The sequence below is a fragment of the Homo sapiens genome, chromosome 6 (assembly GCF_000001405.40).
Source record: "Homo sapiens chromosome 6, GRCh38.p14 Primary Assembly".
Taxonomy (NCBI): domain Eukaryota; kingdom Metazoa; phylum Chordata; class Mammalia; order Primates; family Hominidae; genus Homo; species Homo sapiens.
The window spans coordinates 55,170,546-55,191,779 of NC_000006.12; the positions used below are offsets into that span (position 1 = coordinate 55,170,546).

Below are 21,234 nucleotides of genomic sequence, written 5' to 3' on the forward strand. Positions count from 1 at the left end.
ATTTGCAGTAGGATATCACATGTTTACTTATTTATTTATTTATTTATTTTTATTATACTTTAAGTTCTAGGGTACATGTGCACAACGTGCAGGTTTGTTACATATGTATGCATGCGCCATGTTGGTGTGCTGCACCCATTAACTCCTCATTTACATTAGGTATATCTCCTAATGCTATCCCTCCCCCCTCCCCCACCCCACGACAGGTTCCAGTGTGTGATGTTCCCCTTCCTGTGTCCAGGTGTTCTCATTGTTTAATTCCCACCTATGAGTGAGAACATACGGTGTTTGGTTTTTTGTCCTTGCGATAGTTTGCTGAGAATCATGGTTTCCAGCTTCATCCATGTCTCTGCAAAGGACATGAACTCATCCTTTTTTTGGCTGCATAGTATTCCATGGTGTATATGTGCCATATTTTCTTAATCCAGTCTATCATTGTTGGACATTTGGGTTGGTTCCAAGTCTTTGCTATTGTGAATAGTGCCGCAATAAACATATGTGTGCATGTGTCTTTATAGCAGCATGATTTATAATCCTTTGTGTATATACCCAGTAATGGGATGGCTGGGTCAAATGGTATTTCTAGTTCTAGATCCTTGAGGAATTGCCACACTCTCTTCCACAATGATTGAACTAGTTTACACTCCCACCAACAGTGCAAAAGTGTTCCTATTTCTCCACATCCTCTCCAGCACCTGTTGTTTCCTGACTTTTTAATGATCGCCATTCTAACTGGAGTGAGGCACTGGTCTGAAAATATCAATTCATTTAATTCTTTTAACAACCTTAAGGGGATATCATGGTACAAATTTAGAGCTTTCTTTTGTGTTTGTAAAATGGATTGATTCCTTTTCCCTACATCCAGCAGAAATATTTGAATTGAAGAGAAGAGTAATACCTAAGAACTAGAAATTCCTTTCTTATGTTTCAAAAGATATCAAAAGATCTAAGGAAGATATTCACATCAAAAATGAGTATTATAATATTTATTATCTATGGTGCACTTGCAAAAAAGAAAACAAGTAATAATCTGAAGATTTAAGTGAATATTTTATGACATTGGAGTACCACATATTTAGAAGAAAGCACCAGAGAAATCATAGATAGAAGGAAATGGAATATTTGTAGGATCAAGATAAATACAGCTTGTCATAAAATAAAGCAGGTATCAGGATAAAATCTTGAAAATATTTTCATTTCTCGTTATTTATAACTTCAATTTACTGTGATGATTAATTGTAGGTGGAAGATTTACGAAGAGAAGACTGAAGTATAGACAAGTTGAAGTGCCACAAAATGAAAGCTAATGACACTGACTACTTAGGAAATAGCAGACTGGGTCCATATTTATAGATTGTCAATGACAAGGAATTTGCAGATGTTAATGAATATAGATCCGAACTTAAGTTGCAACAACCTTTCCCACTTTGAGATGAATAGTGCATGGAAGAGTAAAATGCAGATGTTAATAAATCAGAGGAAGACATCGTGCCAGAGTATAAAGTTGACAGATTTATGCCGATGAACTTGAACAAAGCCACAGAAGGCCTACTTGTCAAATTTACTGGTGACAACAGGTCTGGAGAAATGGCTAATGTTTTGGATAATAGCATTAGAATTTAAGGTCTGTTTAAACTTCAAATTAACAGAATGAAATTAATATATGCACATATCAATTGGGTCTTTTGCTTATATATCATCTCTTAATAGAGCCTTTTTGAACAATCATTTCTAATGTGACCTTTGGGATTTTCTACTCATCATCACCTCATCCTGTTTGGTTTGCATTATAGCATCTATCCCTTCCTAACGTTTTCCCTATGTATTTGTTAGTTTGTTTTTTTTTAATCTAACTTTACTAGAAAGTAAAATGCATGGAAACAGCAACCTGTTTAACTTTGTATCACTAAGAGTGGAAAAATAACCCTCAGGAAATATTTGGTAAAATAATAAAATGCCCATTGATGCCCTTCTCTTAAAAAGAAATTTAATTAGTGCAGATTGGGGAAATACAACAATATTTCTCATAAAATGTGATATCTATACAATAACAGAAGTACTATGTCCCAAAAAGTATTCTATAAATAGAAGAAAGAACAGATGGTTTTGCTGCTGATTAATCCATTTATCTTTCGTAAATCATCTAATTTCCCCAGGAACAGCTTCCTCATCTATTAAAGGGGGTTAGTAATAGCTAAGCCCTCAGGGGTTTAAAAATGCATATGAAATAATTTTATAAACCATAAAGCACAAAACAAATATGAAAAATTATGATTGGAGGAGGGGGTGGGGTAGTTAACTAAATCTCAGTGTAAACCACCAATGTCTTGTGTGTGTTGAAAAAATAATTACATATAAAAACTGGTTGCATCCAAAGAATAATGTACTTTTTGCACTGGCAAGACTCAAACCATATTATTGTTACTTCCTCCCAGTTACATATTTTGCAAGATATTGACAATTGTCTAAAGGAAGACCAAACAGATGTAGGTGGGAGCTACTGTCATTTGAACAACATTGAAAAGAAAAATACTAAAAAAGAAACATGAGGGCATATAAAGGAGCGCTGGGGCTGTGATGTTTATTTTGAATCTGTGAAGCATTGTCATGTGGAAGATTTATTCTGTGTAGCACCAAGATGCAAACTAGGAATTAGAGGTAAAAGTCTCAAAAAGACAAATCGTGGCTTGAGACCTTGGTTTAATGTAAGAAACAGTTTTCTCACCCTTAGAGCACTCCCATAAGGATGGAAGTAGTGAATTGTGGTGGTCACATTCAAGCTAGATGGGGACATGTCAGCAATGTTATCAGGAGGCTTCTACTCTGAAGCTGAAGTTCAGACAAGATTTCCAGGCTCTTCCCAAGTGCAAGATTGTAATTACTTAAATGCAATATTTTTACCATGTTTATTAAGAATAAAAGGATCATGAATTCACATTCTGACAAATGCTAGAATACTTATTATTAGAGACAAAACCAGTGCATGAGAGAATGGCAGGTGACATCAGCCCTGAATCAATGGGAAGAAAGACCCAATGGGATGTGGTATTTACCAGAGAGAGCACTTCTGCTTAGATTGCTACATCCTACAGTGAATGTTTAATATCATTGAGTATATTGGTGGTCTGTCATGCTTGACAACATTAACTATGATCATATTTATGACACTTGGCGTCCTTCAAGAATTTGTAGCTCTATTTCACATGACACTTAACTATCGCAAATACAAATTCCAGCTAAATAGACCCTTCAGTTTAAAAACAGTCTCATTCTCAAATTTTAAGGAGAAAGTGAAGACGGAGATGTCTTAAAGACTCGGCAAGTACTAAGTTGGCAAATGTCAAATGTTAAAATAAGTTTATATTAAATGTTAAAGTGTTTGCCTGGAATGACTTTTCCATTGTCCTGCTTGAGAAACACAGAGGCACCTCCTTATTGCTTTTATATTTGCTTTACAAAGACAAATGTATCAACATGCTCTGTATTAATTGTATGTTGACATTTTTGTCATATCCACAGACTGATGCATGTCTGTGCATGGTTTATAATAAGTGCACGTAAAAATAGAGAAAATAAGTAGAAAAAGAGAGAGATTTAACTCTCACCCCCCACCCCCCAAAAAAACAGATTAAATTAGTTTTCATTACTTTTTTTTTTTTCTTCAGCTTCAGCTCTCCCTCAGCGAGGGAGGAGGCTGTGGGCTGCGGACTGAGTGCTGGAATGAGGAGTAATTGAGCTTCAGCTGAGCCGGACGTAGCTTTCTCCTCCTGGTGTCATTGCTGCAGCCTCCAGTGCCGGGTCCCTAGTTCCTCAGCTGCCTATCTTCCCGGTGCAACATCGCCTGTAAAGACAGCAAAGCCACCGCAGAAGTTGCCCGGCAGAAGACTCCGGAGGCATTGGCTCAGTAACTTTTCACGTCATTTTCTGCTCGGGAGCCCCTTCTAGCCTCTCCGCGCAGCCTTTCCCACCGCAAATCACCAGTGCTCATGGGGCAGGCGGAGAGGAGCTTGCAGCATTGAGCGGAACCGGACTTGAGCCCGTGATGTCCGGCACCAAATTGGAGGACTCCCCCCCTTGTCGCAACTGGTCATCTGCTTCGGAGCTGAATGAAACTCAAGAGCCCTTTTTAAACCCCACCGACTATGACGACGAGGAATTCCTGCGGTACCTGTGGAGGGAATACCTGCACCCGAAAGAATATGAGTGGGTCCTGATCGCCGGGTACATCATCGTGTTCGTCGTGGCTCTCATTGGGAACGTCCTGGGTGAGTCTCCTCCCGGGCAGCCCTCCTAGGGGCTATCACCCCCTCTCCGCCCCGGGCTGAGAAGGCTCTAAAGAGACCCCTCCCTCCCCCGGGAAGCAAACAAAGAGGTCGCTGCTCTCGGATGGGGTTTTCTAATAAAATAATAATAATAATAGAAAGTTTTCTGATTTTCCGAACCGGGACCGAGCCCTGGAAAGGTTATTCCCTGTTTTGCAGGAATAACGGGGAAACCGCGTTTCTTTTTCGAGCACCTAGATTACAAGCGCAGGGAGAGGGGCCGCGGCAGGGATCTCCAGGTGGATTTTGTTGAGTGTGTGTGTGTGTGGGTGGGTAGGTGGGGGAGTCAGTCATCCCTTTGTGTAACGTGGCTGGGTGTTTCAGGGGGGTTGGGACGAGACAGAGCTTGCAGAATACAAAGCTACATCCCTAAGGAGCAAGCTCTCTGTGGCTGTGGAAGTCACAAAGCATTTGTGAGCTAGGTGGCATTGCCCTTTGGCGAGGAGGTTTAGTCTCCAGTCAAGAGGTGGTAATGAACCAGCAGGGAGTGGAGACGGAGGCAAAGCAGGGAAGTGCACTCACTCATAGAAGCTGAATTAAACAGGATCCATGCCTGGAGCAAGAAGGAGGGGCATCGGAGAAAAGTACCACAGAGATCTCAATCATCCATCCATCCATTCATTCTTACATCCATTCAGCCAAATATTTTTTTTTTTCAGTCTGCTTGTTGCCAGGCTCAGGAATTATTCATGTCAACTGTTTGTTGTTGTTTTGTTTTGTTTTGTTTTCTCCAAAGATGAGACTAAGCTTAATGCTAGGCTATTTGTCCCGGTCTAGGTCTGTATGCAAACACGGGTTTCCTCGACCCCTCATCCCCCTCCCCCTAAACAATTTCTGAGGGTTGGGGAGGGGGTGAGATGGCAACATGGTGAGTGCGATGATGGAATGTATTAGGGCAGTTGGGGAATATACCTCCAGAAAAGGGGCTTTGGAAGGGAGGGATAACTTGAAATAAATTGTGAATGGAAGGAGAGTGTACCTTGATGAATGAAGAGTAGAAGGCTGGGAGACTTTTCACATGCAGAGGGCAGTGTGGAGGAAGTCTCTGCTGAAAATGACAGGAGATGGAGGAGGCTAGGAGTTGCTCTTGATTTTCATTTATAAAAGAAGAAGAAGGTGAGTGAGGTGAGATAGGCTGGGAGGCTTTGCAGTCAAAAGCAAAGAACTTGTAGCTGCAATGGGGACTGACAAGGAAATTATCAGGCTTTCAGACTAACCTGATTTTTGCCTTCTCTCCCAAGTGTGTTGGTCTGGGTAGAAATCATCCCGAGTAGTCTCTCACCAACTCAGCAGGCAGAATAGATGATAGTATGTGAATGACAGGAGTTCTCCAGAGTGTTGGTAGAATGTTATTTGAGGAGACAAGAAACCTCTGAGAACTTTAGTACATTTTTAAATATTATTTTTAGACTGTTTTCCTTTGGTTGATTTAAAAGTAAAAATAAAGGAAATCTTTTTGGGATACTAACAAAATGAAACAAAAGTGGAAATACACAAGATTAGGATTCTTGTTATAAGCATAATTCTGTTGATAATAATCCTAATCTTGCTTTCCTTCTTCTTGTTACCCATCCTTAGGATTACATCTCTTAAGACACATGGCTACCAGCATAGCAACATTTTACTGCATTATGCCAACACTTATTGATAAGTGAATAATCAAAATTGAACATATATTGAGTACCTACTGTGTGCCAGAGCCCTTCATGTACATTCTCTCCCTTAAATATCAAAATAACCCACATTAGCCAGAAGAAGAAACAAGACTTAGAGAAATAAAATGACGTATTAAGGGACATAATTTAAATTCAGTTCCATTTTTTCTGACCTCAGATCCAGAATTCTCCATTGTTATTCCACTCTAGAGCTAAAAAGCATATAGAGAATAGATTCTCTGCTCCTGATTGTCTGCAAGTTTATTAGATGTGTTCCTGTTCTCCTCTGCATCAACGCCCACTGCCAATAAAGTACAATGAGGGATTAATGGCACTGTCATTCTCTTCACCAAAAACCTTTCCAGAGAAGCAGTAATTTTTTTATGAATAGCTATCAATAGTAACTATTTGCCTTCCTTATTTTAATTTTCGGCTGAATCTTTGTGGTAAAATGTGCTCTTCTTTGTTGTTATTGCATTTTTACCTTGCATAGACCTTGTAGTGAATAGTCTCCATATCCTAATTGCATAGTTTAGGGATACATGTTTGCTAGCCTGGGGAGTTTTAGTTTCAAGAAGGAAACACCTCTACAGTAAGGCTACTTGTTTCATAATGTCAAGGAAGATAGCACTGTCCACAGCCCCAAGTGCTGAAATGGCCAATTCCATTCAGCCTAAAAAGAAAGATTTACTCAAAGCACTCTGCCTTAAAGAAACTGACAGCTATTTTCCTCAGGACTGAATAACACTGAAATCCTCTCTGGTTGAACTGAAATGCATTCTTTTCTGACATACTGCCTGAAAGTTGATGAGGTTTAGGTTTGACATTTAAACAAACGAGTAGTGTCGTTACTCACAGACAACTTCCTGCTCTTTGATGTCACTGTCAAATTTGCAAAATGAATTAGATTGAGAATTGCTTCTTTGCCCCTCTGGTATAAGTAATTTTGCACATAGAGTGGTAGGACAGGATGTCACATGATTTATGCAAAATAAAGATGCAATATTAAGTATGAAGGTAAAATACCACAGTGTAGGCAGCAGATGTAATCACTGAGCCTTCAGGTCCAGTCACCATTTGTACTTTCATATAACTGCTTGGAAAATCTCAACCTTTTTGGGCTTACAAATATAATGCCATCAGTTAGAAGTCATCTTCTCCACAATGTCCTTTCATGAAGTGATGTAATAGGATATGCTGTGGGTAGCATAACAAAGTCTTGATTGTCCTCATCTCTTTTTCTTCTCCCCATAGTCCCTCTTTATCACTATGCCACCTCTCCACTCTCATATACTCCTCCCAAAGATGGAAAGCAGTTTCCTGGGGGAGTAAAGTTTTAAATAGAATGTTATGAGTATTTACATTCAATGAAAAGCTGTAAGCATGTTTAATGTGAAATTTTAAGTTCTAAGGAAGGAGCATAGGGTAAGGTTCTTTTTGGAAGGAGTATCTTTTCAGTATCTTCAGAATAATGCCACCTATAACCTATTCCTAACTATGTCTTCTACTACAGCTAAGTAGATGTATCAACTTATTCAATTGGTATATTGTGAGCATTATCATTTTTTTAAATTAGTGTGTATATCAGGGGAGCCTCTGGGGAAATGTAAAGAAATGTGACTGATGTTAATTTTTACTCCTGATTCCTTGAATGACAATTGTAGGGAGAAATGTGTTCTAGTCAGTTTAAACATTAAGTACCTAGGGAAAATGATCAATTTTCTGCTTCTCATATCTGCATTCAAAGATATCATATGTTTCATCTGGTATGCTTCTGTCATATCTGTTGTTGTCTCCATATGGAAAATAGGAAAACATCAGTCTAGCTATGCTTCTTGCTTCTTGTGTGCCATTAGCAAGTTATTGAACTATCCAAGTCAATTTTTTTATAATTACAAATTAAAGATCGATAATGACTGCATTATAGAAATAGTATCAGGATATAATGTACGTATACCCTCTATAAAGACATATAAAGGGACACAGGCATATACATATTTTTCTTGACACATAGACACTAATTAATGTCAATTTTTATCCCTTAATTTTCATGACTGAACTTTTTGTGATGTGGTGTATAGCCAGCTTCTGCCTTCATGGGCCAGTCTGTATCTCTGTAGCTCTTTATGGCCTCTGCCCCAGCCTTTTCCTTAATTGCATATTTTCCTAAAAGGTGTGAATAAAATGGTGTTGGCACACATTACTCTCCTTTTCCACACTAGCTCCACCCACCCATCTCCTTCATACTGATTGCTTAACATTGCCTTCTTGCCTTTAAATGAAAGCCATTCCTAACTATTGGAATAGTTTGCTTTCTCTCTCAACTTAAATTTGCCTGTGCTGGGTCCCATTCATTTAGAGTTTTTGAGTTGTTAATAGGTTGTTGATAGGCAGGTCTATCACTACTAGTGTTTTAAATAACACACACATTGGTAATATGTTGATTTAACTCATACATTGTTAAAATACATTGTGAAGTATTCATAGTTAAAATAAATTATCCATTAAGTAATTTACCTAATAACAGTTTACCCAAGTTAGGTGTGTGGAATGGGGAAATATTTGTAATAAGTTTGCTTCCTACAGAGTTAGTCTTGTGTCAGATATGTAAGTGGTAGAATTGCAAGTTCATGTTACTCCTAAGCCTAGAGACATTTATTTTCTGCTTCTCCGAATGCCCATTTTAGTTTCATGGGTGTTTGTAAACCCATCCTTACCTACACAGGAAGCAAAAAGGGGTTATTTCTAAACCCTTTTTAGATATAGAAATAATACATCACTCATCTCGGCCAAGACTCAATAGAATCATGAATAGTGACTGTAAAAGGTAATATTAACTATTAGGCTTTAAACCTATTGTGCATTTTAGTTTTAAAATGCAAACATGCTAATCTGAATAAGAATTAATCTGATGCCTCTACATTTTTGCTAAAATCATAACTGTTTAGTCTTACTTAGTAAAATAAATTATATCTTTGACTTAAAATCCCAATGATAACTTTTAAGATGGCTATTTCATAGATAACAGCAACATTTATCATGGACAGACAATAATGAGAATAACATGTGCAACTGATAATTTAAATGCAATGAGTTATTTCTGTATTTGAAAAAATATATTTGGGAAATGGGATAATTAAAAAATACCAGTTTTCAAGAGACCAAATCTAAAACTCAAACATAAACACAATGCTCCAGTTTTTAGAAAACTGTCTTGATTGTAGTAGTGCCTACATACTAAATTGTATCATATGATTTATATTAATTTTCCTTATTTTGTATTTTAGATTATATTTGAAAATTTTCATGTACTGCAGCTATGTTAGCATCTCAAAGTCTCCATATTCTCACTCCGCTCCGAAACATCCACTGCTGATGTTATTTAACTAGTGAAAGAAGATCCTTCCATGTTTCTTCTTATAGCATTCTGACATCTTCTCCACCCTAAGGAATGCTGGCTTTATTAAGTATGTTTCAGTCAATGACATGTGATTGGTGAAGCTGACGGTATTTGTCTTCAGTTCCTTTTTTCCCTGCAAAGGAAATTTGTTGAATATTTATTGGGTACTATATGCCAGGTACTATATGTCAGGCTCCACTTACATATACTCTATTGATGCCTTACAACAAACTTATAATGAGAAGATTAATAGGTTTTACAAATAAGAAAAATGAATTCAAAGAGCAATGCTAACTTACTCAAAAGTTTAGTCAGGCAGTAAATAGCAGCACTAGGTTTCAAATATGGATTTAACAAATTCCATGGTCCATGCTTATTCCATTACTTCATCCTGCCTCTTTCCTTAGCTTCTAACCCTGACTGGAGATGCATAGGCAAAAAGAGGAAGGAAGAGATACTTAGATGTGCCCTCTAGACAATTTACAGAGTTGTTTGGGCATGTTGCCATGCTGTTTTTCTGATAGACTACAGTTCTTCAGCTCTGAGGATGAGCTCATTTGATAAGCCAATCAAGGTCGGGCTAGGGTTACTTTACAAGAGAAAATTTCAAGGTAAAATAGGTGCTGCCAAAAATGCTTTTACCTGTTCAGGGGGTTGACTCACTGGAAAAAAAATGTTAGATAATTGTGGCCAAGGATTATTTTGTTATTGAAAGTGCTATTTTTAGACACAATTTGAGCCTGAGAGCCTAAACACTTAACACTTCACATAATCTACAGATATTTGTTTATTTTTCTTTTTGTCATGCATTGCCAAATAAATAGTATTTATTTAAACAAATCATGTTGCTATTGATTTTATTAAATAGATGAACTTTTTTTAATTTTTTTTTTTTGAGATGGAGTCTTGCTCTGTCACCCAGACTGGGGTGCAGTGGCACAATCTCGTCTCACTGCTGCCTCCACCTCCTGGCTTCAAGCTATTTTCCTGCCTCAGCCTCCCCAGTAGCTGGGATTACAGGCACATGCCACCATGCCCAGCTATTTTTTTTTTTTTTTGTATTTTTAGTAGAGATGGGTTTCACCATCTTGGCTAGGCTGGTCTTGAACTCTTGCCCTTGTTATCTACCCACCTCAGCCTCCCAAAATGCTGGGATTGCAGGCATGAGCCACTGTGCCTGACGTGAACAGGTCAATTTCTATATCACCGGACAGTGTTCCTGGATCAGAATAATATATTATATGTATGAAGAATCATTACCTATTACATCAGACATGAAATGACCTTTAGATACTGACTTTGAAAGAGTTTGAGATGCTATTGGATGAAACACATGACCCATATGACCAGTCTTTTGAATTGCTGACTCTGAGTATAAAATGTTTTCATTTCACCTTTGTTCACAATGAGAAGTGATCTCTTAACCAAGTAAATGAATTAAATCGATATTTAAAATAACATTAAATTTCTTGCCAGAAAAACTGTTCTTTCATAAACAAAAAACAAATTGCTCAAAATAAATGACTATATCTTTATTTCTAAAAAATGTTTAGAGATTATTATTATTGGGTCTTTACAAGTAATTTGCCTTCAATACTAAACACATGAGAACAATGTTTAATATTTATATAGTATTTTACTCTTCAGAAGATATTTGTCCATATTCTCTCTCAGTTATTCTTCACAACAACATTATGAGGTAGGTCTTTTTTAATGAAAAAAAACTCAAGTGCTTGAAGTGATTTAAAATCACTGTGGAAGAAAAGCATGGGCATACAGAAAAGCCAAGTGGTTGTGTGTCAGCTTGGGAAAAGCTTGCAAATTTCCTGTATTTCAAGAGGCCAGGATGAGGTGTGTAATTATCTTTTACTGGTCTTCAGCTATCCTGTCTTTGATATGTGATTGTGTCAAAACTATGAGGAAAAACTCACATTAACAAACTTCATAAACTTGTTAAACATAAAATAATAATTTCGATGTTTTAATTTACAGTAAGAGTTTATTCTTACAAGTCCTTAAATACCCAAAGTTCTTTCAGTTATCATAGTCTTTTTCAGTAGACAGAAATCCATGTGGACTGTTATTGTTCTGAATAGCTAGGCTATGCCATAGTAGCAAACAAACCCTGAATTTTCATTGGCTTAGTATCACGAAAGTTTATTTCTTGCTCATTTAACATCTGAGGTGGGTTGGAGAGTCTCCTTCATCCAATGACTCACAGTTCAGGCAGCCTCCACATTTTGTGCACTATCCCTAAAAGGTGGACTCTGTGGTAATCAGTTTCCAATATGGCTTCCAATGACCGCCCCCGGGCCCCGGCCCCACTTCCTGATAGTCACATCATCGTGTAGTCCCTTTGCATATTATGCCAGAATTGGTCTGGGTGACCAACAGCTCATAGCAGCAGTGAAACGATGTCACTTTCAAGATTACATAACAGGAGCTTACAGCTTCTGGCTCAAGTACCCACTTTCTCTCTAGCTCTTGGATCTCTTCTTCTGGAGGAAGTAAGCTGCCTTGTGGTGAGCAGCTGTTGGCTGGAGTTAAAATCTCCAGCCAGCAGCCAGAGAGGAAATACGGTCTGTTAACAACCTCATGTGTGAGCTTGGAAGCAAATCCTTCAGACCAGGTTGAGTCTTGAGGTGACTACAACAGCCACTACCCCAACCCACCCCCAGCTTCAGTGCAACTTAGTAACAGACACTGAGTCAGAACTATTCAGCTAAGCTTCTTGCAGATTCCTGACCATTCAGAAGCTATGTCATAATAAATTTTTGTTGTTTGACTTCAGTTTCGGGATAAGTTGTTGCACAGCCTCTAAAGTTGTGAACTAGAAGAAGTATACTGGCTCTTAACCACCTTTGCCAAAAATTAACACTTGTCAGTCATGGTCATATTCATTTGGTCCAAATCAATCATATCGTATCAACCTAACTACAAAGGGGATTGGGAGATGGTGATGTCTCTGTCACAGAATCTATATAATAGTTAAAAGTATTTTTAACTTGCATAGACTCAGAACAAGATAATTTGGAGGAATTCAATGCTTAATGGCATACCACTAAGATAAGCTGATAGATATATCGTTGCGATTTGGGTCTCTGACAATAGAGGCAATTGATAATATTAAGAGACTATGTGCCAATTATTGTGCTTGGATTGAGGGTACAAAGGTAATAGAATCCAAGGAACCTGCACTCTTTTTGAAAGATAGACACATAAACACATACTTTTAAAATAACGTGGTAAGTGCTACTATGACAGATGGTTGCACAGAATGTAGTGGAAGTATTTGAGAAGGACACTTAGCTCTGCTGGGGGATTAGAGAGAGATACAGGAGGAGATGACACCTAAACTGAGTTTTAATAGATGAATTCAAGTTACCCAGGTGAAGAAAATTGGGTAAGGATGTTCTAAGCAGAGGAAACAACATAAGCAAAATCAAAGAGGCGTGAAATAGAATGAGCTATGAAGAAAGTGTTAGGCAATTGGGTAAGTCCAATGTAAGTGCAGATGAGGAGAGTCTGGAAATGAGGCTGAAGCAGTAAATAAGGATTGGCCATAAAAGACCTTGTGTACAATTCTTAAGATCTAGGCTTTGACACTGTTGTTTAGGGGGAGCTGTTAAAGGATTTTAAATTAGAGTACCATCATTGGTTTGCATTTTCCATGAGAGCATTTTGAGGAAAATGCAGAGAATAAATACATGAGGGGAAAGACTAGTGAAGGTTTTCACACTGGGGTTTGCATCCTGTTTTGGCAATAAGCTTGTTTTAATGAAAACAAACAAACAAACTGACAATAAAGAACATAATCCAAATTCTCCAGATAATTACTTCCAGGAGGCTTTCTACGTGCTGCATACAAAACAAAGAAAGAAAAACATAAAGTGAGAAAACGAAGGAAAAACAAGGAAAGAAGAGAAAGAAAGAATACATATTGGAAAAACTGTTGCTGTTTTTGTTTTGCTGAATATTTAAATTTGAGAAGCAATTTCTCTTTTTCTTTTTACTTTTTTTTTTGAGATAAAGTCTCACTCTGTTGCCCAGGCTGGAGTGCAGTGGCGCCATTTCAGCTCACTGCAACCTCCGCCTTCCAGGTCCCAGTGATTCTCCTGCCTCAGCCTCCCCAGTAGCTGGGACTTCAGACATGCACCATCACGAGCAGCTAATTTTTTGAATTCTTAGTAGAGATGGGATTTCACCGTGTTGCTCAGACTGATCTTTAACTCCTGAGCACAGGCAATCCGCCCACCTTGGCCTCCCAAAGTGCTAGGATTACAGGCGAGAGCCACTGCACCCAGGCGCAGGTTTTCTTTATGATGTTTTAATTATATCTTTCTTGGAACATATATGTATGAATCTTGCATGCCATAGGTCTATTAATATTTTCCAATATTCTACATGGTTTTTTACTAAAATCATTTTTATGATTAGTTACTGACTGAGGTTTCAATGCATCACTGTACTCCTAGCTATCTCTCATTTTAGCTTTTACATCACATTTTGGCCTCACACTGAAACACAAAATATTAAAAATTTGAGATCTAATAAACAATTTTCACATTTTCCAACTAAATCCCCACTTCTTTCTAAATTTTCTACAACTTTCTAAACATTCTCACTTGAAAATTTATTTTAAATGACATGTATTTTATTCAAACAATCAATGAAGATGCTACATTGACCCCAAGTGAGCCCTTAGGGAATTTCCGTGAATATTTCCCTACAGGTTGGCATGGTAACACACTTCACAATTTCTAAATCTGTGGATAGTTTAGAAGCTTTTATTTGCTGTTCCTAGTTCACAATGGAAATACAACAATGATTAAAAATTATAATATCCTTTTGTAGATTCTTAGCTTTTATTCCTACTCAGTGACTCTAAAATGAATTTATAAGGCCCATGGTTTATAACCATGTGAGGCCTTGATTTTGTCACTACATTGCTAGAAATGGGGTCAGAAGGCCACCAGCTTTAATAATTTAATTCATCAATTCGGAATGAATTTGATGAGTCAACCACTTTGGTAGAGAACCATATTGCTCATAAATACTGTTTTGAAGGCAATTCGTCTTTCATAAAATGTGAAGATTGTGCTGATCTTTCTGGGCAGGGTTATGGAGGTGTGATTAAATGCTTAAGAAACCATTTTGTTATTATATTAAACCGAATCAACTTTTTATTATTAAAAATAGATAAAAACTTAGCATCCTCAATTATAATACTTTATACAAAAGTTTCCCAATTTTATATAGACTGAAGATAAAAATACATTAACAAATCTTACCAGCTGGTTCAGGAAAATAACTTCATAATTATTGAGACATTTATGTGTTTGGGCTTGATTTATACTTTGGACACAGGAAAACCTAGAGAGATCTGGTTCTTTGAAATCATCAGAGATGGTGATGGTGACTCAGAGATTCCTGAAAATCAGTAAGATTACCCTAGTTTATAGACGTATGTGTTATTTTTTCCCCCAGGCATAATGAACTTTATAACTTGTCATTGACAAGAAGCCAAATCATCTTAGAGAAAAGGGGGAGAATAAAAATTTAAGAACTTAAAAACACATAAATAAAAACATGTACATACCTCACACATGTGTACACACACAGTTTGGGGATTGGATGATATGAATAATATAATTAATACACCCTAATTTTTCATGCAGGATTAAGAAAGTATCTTCCAAACATTAAAAATGCTGAAAACTGGACATAAGGCCTTGAGTTTCCCAAATTCAGGACATATTTTCAACTATCCCCTGAGTAAATGAACTATAACATTTACAGAAGTAAAAATGATAAATACACTAAAGATGAATAAGTCCTTGAATTAACAGCCAAACAAGAAGGCGCATCCTTTGGATGATTGATCACTGTAGCATGATTTCTTTTCCTTGAATAGACAATATTCCTTGACAATCTTTCTGTAAACAGAATACAATGTTTCCCTAAGCAATATATGCGTGCTCTAGAGTTTTCACAATTTCTGATCCTCCTATGACTGGCTCCTGCTCAGCTCACACTGCACTTTCATGGAAGTTCTCTTAGAATGCCAGCTTTGAATCACTGCTCCCTCATGTGCTGTGTGTGATAGCATCCCATTTTAGTTTTGTCATAGAATTGATTACCATTTCAAATTGAATTGTTAATTTATTGTTCATTTTTCTGTTGTCTCCCTTAAGTAAAAGGTAAGCTGCATGAGAATAGTTTCATTTTTTTTCCTGTTTGCCAATGTATCCTCAGTGCCGAGAACAGGTTCAGGAATACAGAATTTTTAGTTAGCAAATGAATTAAAGTGTAAGACTTCCAGCAGGAGGAATTTTTTACATATAAGTACATTTTTTAAATTAAGCATTGCAGGCTTTAAATTTCTTCTATATAAATATTTAAAATAAAGCTTCAATAATTTGAATTGCTTTTGTGATTATTTTGTTTTATACCTTGAGTAACTTATACATCAACTATTTTGTAGTTATTCTAGTAATGATTATGAAAGACCATTTGAAAATCTTTCCCCAGCACTGAGATCTCCTTGACATGACTAAGTGATTTATACTATGCAATTATATTGCTCTTCTCAAGAAAAGCAAAATGAAATTTACAAATTTGGTAGCTTTTTGTTCTTTTGTTTTCTCAAGTAAGATACACCAAGATTTCTTTAAATGATACGCTATATTTCTGCAATAACTGAGAAGAACATGTAATGTGCAAAACTCTTAAACTCTTTTTGTTTCAAAATAATTCTTGGTTGTTTTTATAAAAGTCTAAGCAAATACTTAATGAACTGTGTCCCAAATGAGGTGAAACAGCTGTGACAGAATGTTACTATGACTCTGTACTTTCTATAATAAAAAGGGACAGACATATCCTCACCTGAGCCTTGGGATGTTTCAGGCATGCCCATAGAGCCTAAGCTTTAGGAATCCTCTGTCATTCTTTTCCATTGCCAGTGACTTGTGCCAATTCTAGGGTTCTGGACTGTGCAAACAATGGAAAAAATAATAACACTTTCAGGTGGCGCACAAAACCAATGTTCATAGTAGATGGATAGTTCTAGACACTTTATTTAATAGAGAATAGGAGAAACACTAATCCCATCTAATTCTGCCTTCAAACTCCTAAAATATTCATCATTATGAATTAAAAAAAAAAATCAAAGTGTAACCTCACCCAGAGAAAGAAGACATTGGGGCCAGGTCTGGTGGCTCATGCCTGTAATCCCAGCACTTTGGGATGCTGAGGCGGGTGGATCATGAGTTCAAGAGATCGAGACCATCCTGGCCAACATGGTAAAACCCCATCTCTACTAAAAAACAAACAACAAAAAAATTAGCTGGGCTTGGTGGCATGCGCCTGTAGTCCCAGCTACTTGGGAAGCTGAGGCAGGAGAATCACTTCAACCCGGGAGACGGAGGTTGCAGTGAGCCAAGATGAAGCCACTGCACTCTGGCCTGGTGACAGAGTGAGACTCCGTCTCAAAAAAAAAAAAAAAAAAAAAAAAAAAAAAAAAAAAAAGAAAACGAAAAGAAAAGAAAGCAGATATTGGTAATTCTAGCAGATCCTGGAACAACTGAACCAAATTTATTAATATGTATTATTACTGAAAATCAGTAATGAACAAAATTTACAGAATGGGCTTCTTGGAGTTGTTACATTTCCCTTATTACATAACTCTTCAATAAAAGTGTTTGTCATACCTATTTTAGTTAATTCTACAACAACTAGTGTGATAGGGCTATTATTTGATCTTTTTTTTTTTTTTTTTTTTTTACAGGTAGTGACATTCAGTATTAGACAGCTGCTATTGTGTTAGTTGTCTGAATACCTTTACATATTATCAACTGGCCTTTTCATTCCTGAGTTGTGAGTAAATGCTCTGTCTCCCAGACTGGAGTGCAGTGGCGCAATCTCGCCTCAGTGCAAGCTCCGCCTCCCGGGTTCACACCATTCTCCAGCCTCAGCCTCCCGAGTAGCTGGGACTACAGGCGCACGCCACCATGCCCGGCTAATTTTTTTTTCTTGTATTTTTAGTAGAGACAGGTTTTCACCATGTTAGCCAGGATGGTCTTGATCTCCTGACCTCGTGATCCACCCGCCTCAGCCTCCCAAAGTGCTGGGATTACAGGCATGAGCCACCACACCCGGCCATAAATGCAGTCTTGTGTTCCCCACTTCCATTCCTCCTTTGACAGTACAGCTATGCTAGTCTGCGTAGCAAATTGAAAAAATATGACCTGTGGGATTTAAACAAAACACAGTGTCATACACATTTTCTGGTAAACTTAACCAAAAGGGACTTGGGTTCCATAACTAATCACCAATGCCTCAGTGATCTGTAACTCCTTGTAGGTACCTGATCACAGTTACTAAAGGGAAAGAGGAGCGAGGAATACAAGAGCAAAGTCAAGCCAGACATAGATTTTATCTCTTTGTAAACAGGAGTTCAGAAGACCGCTCTGAATGCTGAGTTAGCATCAGCAATAATAGAAATATATGCAGATTGTTGATTTGAAGTCATGCAAAGATATCTTTTTCATCCAAATGGAGGCAAAAGCATCATAGAGCACCAGAGGGCTAAATCCAACTGTAGCAGCAAAAGGTACACAGAAAAATAAAGCATCCTGAACCAACGCACTGACTTTCTAGGGCTTATCTAATTTGGAGCTATTTCCTTTTCTTATTTCATTCAGCAAATATTTATTGAACACCCACAATGTGTAATCTGTTCTATTACATTCTGTGGAGGAAATACAGAAGTGAATGAGGCATGGTTCTTACCTACAAGGAATTTCTAATCTTGTGGGGGAGACTAACATGTAAACAATAAACTATAGTATGAGGATTACTGAAGAGGCATATGCTAAGTCTCAGAACATTGAAATATAAGAGTTGGGTTTGACATGGGGAAAGAAATACCTTCTTCACTGAGGAGGTAGCATTTTGAGTTATTGTTGACATGTGAATACGATTTTGAAAAGTTCCAAAGAATGAAAAATTCCACCTACATTGGTGAAGTACTAAGATTAAATGCATGATAGCTTGAAGACACAAAAATAATTATTTATAAACCATTCCAAAAATCATTCAGGGAATTCCAATAATACACAAGTTTTTAAACACATTTCTGGGTAATTTTGAGTAATAAGGTCTTAATCTCCTCTACTGCTTTCAATTGTTTTTGTGGCCTTCTTTATTTTGTGGGTATCTGGCCCAGTCTTGTCTGTAGTGTATTATGGTGGATTGGATTAAACATGTTTTGCAATCTCTGGAGTGATTTTAAAATGACTTGTGTTATATCAGAGTTTCCTAAAGGGAGATTAATTTGGCTTAATGGTAAGAACGGATTAAAGTTATGAGATACCAGACACTGGGAAAACAGTTAGAAGCCTGTTGAGACTCTTCAGGGCAGTTGTTGTGAGAATGAAGTTAAGACAATGGGATAGAATATGAAAAAAAATGAAACAAACATGAGAGGCAGTCTGAAGATGGAAGTTGGCAACTCATCAAATGTGAGAAATTTATAGGAACAGAAAAGAACCTGCTGATTAATATAAATTTTCTGCCAAAGAAAGTACAGTGGCTCTCCTCAGCAAACTAACATGGGAACATAAAACTAAACACTGCATGTTCTCACTTATAAGCAGAGCTGAACAATGGGAACACATGGACACAGGGAGTGGGACATCACACACTGGGGCCTGTTGTCGGGACTATGGGAGGGAGACCATCAGGATAAATAGCTAAAGCATGTGGGACTTAATACCTAGGTGATGGGTTGATAGGTGTAGCAAACTATGATGACACACGTTTACCTATGTAACAAACCTGCACGTCCTGCACATGTATCCCAGAACTTAAAATAAAATTAAATTATTAAAAAAAGAAAAAGACAGTGCTTGTCTTATTCGTTTTTTTCTTAAAATGGGAAATATGTAATATATATCAACTGTAGTGTATAGAAGGGTCATGATGAATTGGACAAAGATACGTGGAGTTTGAATTGCTAGAGGAGTACCCACGTGCAGTTGTCCAGCAGAAATCAGGGCTTGTTCCCCAACATGCTATTCACAATCAGTCTACTACTCTCAGGTATTTGTTTTTCTGTGTGGCTATGCAAGCAATAGATACAGTTTATGTGAAAATGTTTTAGAAAATGTCTTCTGGAGTAATTAAAAGCATACAAGGGAATGTAAATCTCTTAATGTGACAAGACCTTTTTGCCACAATAAACAAATTCATTAGTTCAAAAAATATTTATTGTGTGCCTATTGCAGCAAACAAAACAGACGAAGCTCCTTCTTGTAGGGAACTTATACTCTAGTGATATTTAGTATATATTTTGACAACTGAACCAATAGGATTTGATGACGGATTGCCTTATGGGTATAAGAGAAAGAGAGGAGTCCACACTTTCATGCCAGGTAGGTTGATGGAGGTGCCATTTACTGAGATACAGGGCCGTAGAGGAGGAGTGTGTTTGCAGCAGGGAAGGAGAAGACTCAAAATTTGGTTTTGATCATACTAAATTTGATATAGTACAGGTAAGTGTATGGTGGCCATTAGAACATGAAGGTAAGAGTTTAGATAAGGAGACAGGTATGGTGAAATACATCCAATATTTATAACCAATATTATCTTTTGTGTCTGTACCTTTTTATACATTCCCCATATATATCAAAGACTATAGAAGGGACTGGATAGTGAATAAGTGATTATACATAAATTCTTTTTTACAGATTATTTTGCTCTTGATTTCTCCTATGTAAATCATCACAGCTACATTTTTTAAAATCTTAAAAAGGATTACTTTGAACAATGCATTTAAACATCCAGAAAACAAAAACAGGAGTGCATGGTAAAAATTCTGATTTCAGAACGTATGCCTGACTTATCAAGTCAGAATTTCAGGGAGTGAAGACCCTGGAATCTACACTTTAAATAGAGCCTCAGTTCACCAAGTATGAGAAGTCCTGTAACAGGGAAAAGTAACCTCCTGTTATATTTGATGGAGGCCAATTGACAAGCCAAGTAGTTTTCCATTTGACAAAAATTCTATTGTACCAATGAAGAGCTATCAGAGGGGAGTAGATTAAAACACCTCCCTTGAAATGGAATTTGGCAAGAAAGCAAGAAATTACAGCAAAAAGACCAATAAGAGGAATTAGGGGCAATGAAGGAAGGAGCAAAGATGTGGGAACCCAAAAAGTTTTCCTAGTAACAACTTTGAAATTATATTTTTAGTATATTAAATTTAAAGTAGAGTTATTAGTGCGTACATTGGTGTAATTTATTATTATATTAAGCCAACAATATACTTTTAAACTTATACAACTTTGCAAAAAAGTACAAATCAGAAGTCTGGGCTAAGTAGAACGCATAATAGAATCAGTAGTGCAAAATATTGTTCTATATTTTCTAGCTTATGATTTTCTATATAAAGTCAGTCTTTCAGGATTAAAATGAATGTCACTTCTTTTTACCATGTGTCCTTTAAATTATTAAAATCTATACACATATTGCTATACATAGTAAATATAGTTAGTCAATTATGTCATGGAAAGAATTGAAGGGTTGTTATAAATTTAAAGGTGTTTCACTATACAAAAACATTGTGAAATACTGGTGCTGATTTAGTCCTAGTATCTCTGATATATTAAATCATAAATGTCAGGAGTTATTGGTCACAAAATAAACACCAGAATTATATGACAGTCTAAAAACAAAAACAAAAAACTTCAGCAACAATATTGAAGATATGGAAGTGCCAGAAGAATAAGGATTAAGACAATGAATAAAAATCTCTTCCAAGGACTGGTCTACACTAAGAGTTTAGAAATGCATTTTT

General features: G+C 37.0%; 1 protein-coding gene across 3 annotated transcripts in view; it reads left to right on the top strand.

Moving 5' to 3' along the window:
• The window catches only part of HCRTR2 (hypocretin receptor 2), a 178,245-nt gene that overhangs the window by 64,077 nt on the left and 92,934 nt on the right, over window positions 1–21,234 (top strand). For 2 of the 3 annotated variants that reach the window (XM_017010798.2, NM_001526.5), the window contains exon 2: window positions 3,666–4,265. In XM_017010798.2, the coding sequence (XP_016866287.1) occupies window positions 4,043–4,265 (223 nt within the window). In that variant the 5' untranslated portion in view covers window positions 3,666–4,042. Of the gene's footprint in view, window positions 1–3,665; window positions 4,266–21,234 lie in introns of those variants that run through there. The other variant, NM_001384272.1, reaches the window with a different exon arrangement.